We start from the raw sequence: 8,572 nt of genomic DNA, 5'->3' as shown, positions 1-8,572 counted from the left end.
TGTGTATGGGGGTCCTAAATGAGACAGTGTGATCTGTTTAGTTTTGGTTTAAGGGCGAATACAAACCAATAACGGATGTGAAAAAATTATTTGAAGCAAAGAATGGAAAGAAGGCCTCTTTGTTGATATGCTGTTGGTTTAAAAAAAATCAAGGAGCACTCTTCTAGCCTCTCAGACAGATATCAGAGTGAAGTGTTATGATTTTCCTTTTGGTGTTGATACATTCTTCGGAAATCTTTTGTAGAATCTGAAACTGTTTTCTGAAGAACTTTAAGAGATAGTGCCTACATTTTCGGAGTCCTTTGATTAGAAAGTGCCCGTAAGTCCTGTCCTTCTGTAACTGAGCTTGATATGCATAGTGCTAGGAAGATCTGATGCTAGGAAGTCCTATTCAGGGCTTTCGGGCCCTAAAAAACAGAATATTTAATGCTTGATTATACCAGTAACAGCGTGTTTAGATGTTTCACAAAAATACAACAGAAGAATGACTACTGTTCTCACTTTAACTGATTTAGAACCTAGTTTGCCATTGACTAAAAAGTTCACAGTTCATTAATTCAACAAACATTTATTGACTCCTAAGTGCTAGCCAGTGTTTCAGGCACTGGGTGTACACAGGTGAACACAAGCAAAAGGTTCACCCTTTCATGGAGCTTACATCGGAGTGGGAGCTGGGGACAGAGAGAGACATAATATATATCCCAGTAAACCAGATTTTGATCAAGCGCTGAAGAAAATAAGAGTGATGTGATTGAAAGTGTCTTAACTGTAGATGCAGTCAAAGAGGATCTTTCTGAGGAAGTGACACTTAAGTTGAGCTTTAAGTATAAAGAAGGAGCCAGCCATCCAAAGAAAAGGGGAAGATCCTTCCAGGTTCAGGGAACAGCTGGTGCAGAAACTGGCTGGAATGCGCTTGTCAAGTTCCAGGGAATGGGAAGAAAGGGTCAGGGTAGGTGGGAGGTAGTGGAAAGAGGATGGGTTGGGTGAGTAATAGCCAGAGCTTAGTGAACACGGGGGAGAGTTGGAGATAAGGTCAGAGAGGTGGATATGGGGCTCAGAATAGGTAGGCAAACAAATTGCCAGAAGGAGTAGGAAGTAGAAAATGATGCTGCTTGTTGATTAATTCTGTCGCCTTAACTAGGGTCTTATCACTTACTGTTTTTGCAGGTACTGTTGGACTATCATAATAAAGTCACTCTGCTGAGTGGGAGAGGAAGAGGCAGTGGTCACCTGGGTCTTTTCTGGCAGATAAATTTCAAGCTGGGTGTTCAGATTTTCAGCAGGATGTTCAATTGAGGACACACCTCTTTCTTTATTTTGTCTTATATACTGCTGTTTAAAACTGCATAATAAGTTCTCTGAATGTGTTCTAGTATACGAATCCTCCTTTGTTTCCAGCTCTGTATGAATTTAAGGACTGGGCAAGTGTTAATAATATGCCCTTATCCATCTACCAAGATGACCATCAGGATCTAAGTTTCAAGTTGTCTTTTGTAGGGAGGCAGTTTATGTTGCAATAGTTCCACTCTTGTCTGATCCTTCTGATGACTAATAACACTCAGCTGAGGTGTAGGTTGGTACTAAAAGTTCACTCAGTGGATTACATTAGATAAATGACCATTGTGGGGCTCAATTCCACTGTGTCGGCATCTTTGGGCTGGCACGTAACCAAGGGATGTAACCTACTTTTGCCTTCTGCTGAGGGCATTCATCTCTAATGGTGTGCTGCTTTTCAGCCTCACCTTGACCAGACCGTCCACTTGAGAGGCCCAATCAAGACTCCTTGATTTGGCCCTCTTGAGCCATGTCACACTGGGCTGAAACAGAATATGCTTTTTTCTTCTCTTGAACCCTACAACAGTGACTAGTGTGTTCTTTGAGTGAATTGGCTCTTTGAGCCAGGCAGTTGAGAGACTTAAATGTTGCTTGGGCTATTTGTAGTAAACTCAGTATTAGAAATGCTAAATAAAACCTTTTAGTGTTTGGGGAAAACGAATCAGAAATTGAGGACTTGTCACCTGTTTTAGGTTCTAGTATTCTCGTGGCACCTGTAGAAGGATTATCGAAAACTTGAACAGAGCTTTCTGGGCAGTTCTGGGGGCAATGAAGGGGACGAGGTAGATCCTGGTACTGAATTACTAATTCTGATTTGATTGCAAACAGAATGTCTTTTAGTTAGCAAGCAAATGACTAAAGTAAACATCTAGGAACAGGCAACTTCTACTCTTCATACTAGAGTATCTCAAAGGAATAGAGAATTGGTAGTGAGATTTGTTAATTTAATTATTTGGCTTTGGCCCAGGTTAAAGGTTTTGGACTTAACTTATATGCTGATGCTTGGCATAAAATGCTCTATCTGATGGGTTATTAAGCTCTCCACTTCATTTTCATTTCAATGGTTTATTGTAACTCAAATATGAAAATATCCTGTAGGCTGAAGTTTCATCAGCCAGTTTGGAGACTGGTGGCTCTTTTCTAATTTTTGAAAGGGGGCGGGTGGGTAGGAGGGGACTTGAACACAAGGAGAAGCCATTGTCTCCTACATTGGCTACTAATTGTGTTTGGGGAAAGAATCCACAAATTTAAGTGGATTGGATTTTCGGAGCTGAGCTGGCCTTTTAATTTAGGGTACCAGTGGATTTATTTCTTACACTTTGCAGGCTTTTGGACAAACTCTTCTGAAAGGTGGGCAACCTAGAAAGCCAGTTGATGCCACTTGCTATTGGAGTTGTGGGTAAGTGGTTTTACATTGCATTACACGACTAAAAGGTAATCAGATTTTGCTACTGTTTTGGTGTACAGATGCTCTTTGATTTACAGTGGGGTTACCTTTTATAACCCCATCATAAGTTGAAAATATTGTTAGTAAAAAAATGCATTTAATATACCTCACCTACCGAACATCATAGCTTAGCCTAGCCTACCTTAAACATGCCAAGAACCTGCATGTTTGGCATGTTTGGCAAATGCATCTAATGAGCCTATTTTATAATAAAATATTGAATATCTCATGTAATTTATTGAGTGAATACTGGAAGTGAAAAACAGAATGGTTGTGTAAGTACTTGAAGTAGTCTGGGACTGTCTATGTGCTGAAGTAAGGACATTTAATTGTGCAGTAGTTGCCAGTTGTTTTGAGGTGAAGAAGTGGTAACTTAGATTGAAACAATGGTAATGACGTGGTAACTCCTGTTTTCCCGGGTCTTGATAACTTAAAATTATCTCTTTGTGTCTGTTTAGACTGTTCTGGAGCTCTTTGCACAATGGACCAGGGTTAATTGAGTTAGTGTCTTTCAGTTCAAATCTAGTTTCACTAGTTCTTACGTCTGTGTTCCTAGATGATGGTGAATCCTATTCTTTTGGGTGGTGAGAAGGGATTACCACAGAACTTGACCGTTTAATCAGTGAATAATTACAAACTAGAGCGTAACATATTTACATCCCCTTGGTATCCTGGGGGATTGGTTTTGGACCCCTTAGTTACCAAATTCACAAATGATCAAGACTTACATAAAGTGGTAGTATATGGGAAGGTGCAGGGAGTGGCGGTGATGCACATCTGTAGTCCCAGCTACTCAGGAGGCATTTCCAGATTACTTATAATGCCTAATACAGTTTGGGTGTGGTGGCTCATTCCTGTAATCCCAGCACGTTAGGAGGCTACTACAAATACCTGCCCCCTTTTTGTTTTATTATGTGGGAGGATTGCTTGGAGGCCAGGAGTTCAAGTCCAGCCTACGCAAGATAGTCAGGCCCTGTCTCTAAAAAAATTTAAAAAACTTAGCCAGGCATGGTGGTGCATGCCTGTAGTCCCAGCTACTGGGGTGGCTAAGGCAGGAGAATTGCTTGAACCCAGGAAGTTGAGGCTGTAGTAGCCGTGATGGAGCTGCTGCACTCCAGCCTAGGTGACAGAGCAAGACCCCATCTCAAAAACAACAGCCAAATACAATGTAAGTGGTATGTAAATAGTTGCTATGCTGTATTTTAAAAAATTCATATTATTTTTTATTGTTGTATTGTTATTAGGTTTTTTTTTTCCAAATATTTTTGACCCATGGTTGGTCGAATCTGCCAATGTAGAACCTATTGATACAGATGGCCAATTGCACTGAAAATGAAAGAAAAGATTGGAAGTGGCTCAAACTCTTATTCTTTGAAGTTGTGACATGTTGAAAGAAGAGAATGGCAGATAGGGAAATCATTTTCTTTAAGATGTGTGCAAATGAGACCTTCTTTAAATACCATACATCAGAACAGGGAAGCTTAGTAAATCAGTCTTGAGGTGGTGATTAGCTCTTGTGGCAAAATAAGTCACCTGTGCCCAGAGCCTGGATACCAGCCTGGTTGCATGCAAAGGCAGACATGTCAATGACTTCGTCTACCTTCCTGAGGGCTTGACCTTGTTCAAGAGTGTCCTTTGAGCTGTACTATATTGTTAGGCTTGGGATTGAATTGCCACACAGAAGCTTGGATTGCATAGTGTTGGGAAGCATCATCCCTGATCCTTTTGTGCCCTGCTCTGCTGGAGGGCTCAACCGCAGGACCTGGTGACTAGAAATAATTCTGTCACTTGGGCCTGCAGATTCATACCAGGTCTGATGACTGACTAAGAATCTCAGATAGCAGCAGTGTATAGTGTGGGACTCTTCATTTTTGAGACTGCTTAGCATCTCGGAGCCACTGCCCCTCTTTCTGCCTGTTGGGCCAAGAGAAAGTGTTGAAAAAACCTGCCCCTTTTTGATTTATTATGTATTCATTTATTTTTTGAGACAGAGTCTCAGGCTGGACTCAGTGGCCCAGGCTGGAATGCAGTGGCATGATCAAGGCTCACGGCAGCCTCGACCTCCCAGGCTCAAGCGATCCTCCTGTCTCAGCCCTCCTGAGTAGCTGGGACTACAGGCCTGCACCACCATGCACCACTAATTTATTGTATTTTTAATAGAGATGGGGTTTCGCTGTGTTGCCCAGGCTGGTCTCAGACTTCTCACCTCAAGTGATCTGCCTGCCTCGGCCTCCCAAAGTGCTGGGGTTACAGGCGTGAGCCACCACACCTGGCCTGCTCCTTTATTTTAGTAGCAGATTGTTTCCACACAAGCGGCAGAGTTGGGTTACAGCTTTTAGCTCTCTATCATTCATGATGGGTTTGAACTCTATGCAGTGTTTGCTTAAAGTGGATTAGTATGTGTCCTTTAATTTTGATTCTGAACGAGTCTCAAGTCATAGCATTACTACTTTGAATGCTGTTAATTCCCCTTCCTGAAGTTTAGGAGAAGCAGGAAAAAGTCAGACCCTTGCAGAATCTTAGCATATCTGGTGTTTATTTCAAGCTGGGCTTTGAGGAGCCCTCTCCGCCATTGTTGAAGTATGCTTGTGGCAGGGATGAGGGGGTTTTGCTGTTTTCCTTCTGTTTCACGTTACTACTTCAGTCTGTGAAAAGTTACTGTAATATTCTGTTATATTGGGCTACCCTATTAGATTCTAGTTGAATAAAATGTTCTGAGGCTGAAAACAGGTTGAAAAGTGGTTATTTTCAGTGGGAAAACAGAAATCAAGAAAAATAAGTAGGCCAGGCATGGTAATGCACTGCATGCGTGTAATCCCAGTACTTTGGGAGGCTTAGACGGGAGAATCTCTTGAGCCCAGGAGTTTGAGACCAGTCTGGGCAACACAGTGAGACCTCATTTTACAAGAAATAAGGGAAAGGAGCTGGGCGTGGTGGTGTGCACCTGTAGTGTCACCTGCTTGGGAGGCTGAGGCAGCAGGATCACTTGAGCCCAGAAGGTCAGGCTGCAGTGAGCTGAGATCGCACCACTGCACTGTAGCCTTGGTGACAGAGTGAGACCCTGTCTCATTTAAAAAAAAAAAAAAAGATGAGTAAATGCTTAAAGTTACAGAGCAAGCTCTAGGCAGCAGCAAGGCTAGAATCAGGCCTTCTCTGCACTAATTCTTGTTCTGTCTGTTGCACTGCATCTCTCAAACAAGTTGGTGTAGGCACCCGATAAAGTTTAATTGAATCCTTGGTGTTTGGACTCTGTGTTCTTGGGTTCTGTACTCAAACATTTTGTCACAAACTCTTCATCTTTCAAAGAAGACTCCCTATAGTGAAGCATATGTGAAGCGAGGTTATTAATGGTAGTGGGATGAGAGGCTTCTTAGTTTTAGTAGTGGTTGTGGATACTTGATAGAAAGCTGGGCTTTTTTCTTCAGAATAGTTCTGAAAGTGACCATATTACATTCAAATAGGAGTTGAGGCATTATCCCTGTAAGTTTTCTTTTTTTCCCCCCCAAACCAACCCCAAAATGGTCAGTGCACTGTAAGTTTTTCAGATAAGCAAGTGGGCCTGTTCTCGAACACCAGTGCAAAATGCTAAACCAGACTTCCATTTCCTGTGACCTGCCCTGGAATTTGAAGAGGAGAATCCAGGTGGATCCATGGACAGAACAGCTTCTGAACAGCTCTGTGGAAATAACCACCATGGACATGCATTCCTTATTTTTAAAAAATATCTGTAAAGCAAATTGGCTTTCAATTAAATAGTTGCTTTATGTCTACTTAATGACTTGCCTAGTAAGTGCTCTTTAAACAGGAGGGGGAGGTGAATAATACCATTACAGTGAAGGTGCCGGGACTCTAGCAGTGTGGGTCCTATGAGACAGCATCTAGGGGCACACTGGAAGTCTCAGGCCCTCTGAGGAGGTGTTTTTCCCCAGTTGTGACATTTTCTTCCTTCTCAGTAAGTGGAATTAGAGAGTGAGGAGTGATAGAGTGAATGCTGTGTGTCTACTTTTGAGAATGTTGTCAGATTCTTTTTCTCTTAGAAATTTAGTTGTTCTTTGAAATAGTCAGTTGTTCAGTCATTTACTCAAAACAGTTGGTGTATCTCATGCCCACGGTGAGGAGCATTCTGCTTGAGAGTTTCCTAACTTTTTAGGAAAGAGAAAAGCCTAAAGACTCCCAGAGCACTAAGATGGGAGGTTCAGTTGTCGGAGATGAGCTTGTGTAGGGTAGCTGGCCTTTGAGAGGACACGGTGGTTGGTGGTATTGTGGACTGGGGAGAAAAGCCCATCAGTGGTCTAGCTGGGAGAGGCTGCAAAATACTAACAGTGCACTTACTGGGGACAGAGGGTAGGGAAGGAGCAGGCCCACAAGATTGCCCAACTCCAGGGAATGCCGTTCACAAGGAGGGGACAGGGTCCTCTGGAGTTGGGCAGTGTACTGGCCCTGGCCAGGGCTCTGATCACAAGTCCTCTCCCAACTGGAAAGCATATTTCTGCCTAAGAGGGATGAGCACAGGGACACAGTGGCTGGTTTGGCCAAATTGTTCTCCAAGATGGACTAATCAGCCATAATCAGGAGTTATCCCTGGTCCAGGCTAGACCACTGATGGGCATTTCTCCCCACTCCACACCCACCACCCATCACCACTGTGCCCCCTCGAAGGCCGGCTACCCTACATGTCCTCCTCTCTGACAACTTCCCATCTTGGAGACCAGTCATCTTTACAGACTGCTGGCCAATTCCCCCGGCCTCCATCCCTGTCTCTTAGGGCTTTATTTTGACAAATCGGAAGTTGGTAAAGAAGGGATTGTAATTATTTGTATCCGTTAGAGCATTAGAGAACACTGGATAGTGGCTCTTGACATTTAACAATGTTTGCTATCCAAACGGAACAGTTACATGTCAATTGCTGAGGTAATTAATGATTCTCTTGTGGGAACTGTAATGTGAAAAAACTAATTAAAGAAAATCGGCCGGGTATGGTGGCTCACGCCGGTAATCCCAGCACTTTGGGAGGCCGAGGTGGGTGGATCACGAGGTCAGGAGTTCAAGACTAGCCTGGCCAAGATGGTGAAACCCCATCTCTACTAAAAATACAAAAATTAGCCGGGCATGGTGGCAGGCGCCTGTAATCGTAGCTATTCGGGAGGCTGAGGCAGGAGAATTGCTTGAACCCTGGTGGCAGAGATTGCAGTGAGCCAAGATCGCGCCACAGCACTTCAGCCTGGGCGATAGAGTGAGACTCCATCTCAAAAAAAAAAAATCATTTTTTACTTCACATTTCTACAACATCCATGTTCTCTTTGGCAGGCCAAATTAGTCTTTCTTCTTTAAAAAAAAAAAAAAAAATTTTGACCAGGTGCTGTGATCTGTCCATAGGACCTGATTTCCTGCTAGTGCCGACCTGCAAGCAGTGCTCTGAATTGGTGACAGGTGTAGATTTAATGATTAGATCAAGCAGGGAAGTGGCTTCTGAGCATCAGAATGGTTAGTTTTAGTGTGGACCTCTTAATGAGGTGATTAATTATATCATTCCAACAGTTCTTGGGCAGCAGTTGAGTGTCCAGCAGTTTAGTTCTGTTACTGCGTGGAGTTAGCACAGACCCCACCTGTTTATTTCATTTTTTGTTTATAGAGACAGGGTCTTGCCCTGTCGCCCAGGCTAGAGTGCAGTGGTGCTATCATAGCTCACTGTCATTTCAAACTCTGGGGCTCAAGTGATCTCCCCACCTCAGCCTCCCAAGTAGCTAGGACCAGAGGCACACACCTCCATGGCTGGCTAGTTAAAAAAAA

At 43.2% G+C, this 8,572-nt stretch overlaps 1 protein-coding gene across 1 annotated transcript in view; it reads left to right on the top strand.

Annotated features, from left to right (window-relative positions):
- The window catches only part of DCUN1D3 (defective in cullin neddylation 1 domain containing 3), a 45,434-nt gene that overhangs the window by 1,317 nt on the left and 35,545 nt on the right, over positions 1 to 8,572 (top strand). The window lies entirely within an intron of this gene.

This window comes from Homo sapiens, chromosome 16, assembly GCF_000001405.40.
Source record: "Homo sapiens chromosome 16, GRCh38.p14 Primary Assembly".
Classification (NCBI taxonomy): Eukaryota; Metazoa; Chordata; class Mammalia; order Primates; family Hominidae; genus Homo; species Homo sapiens.
Note: the sequence above shows the minus strand (reverse complement) of the source record. Positions and strands in the feature narration are given on the sequence as shown.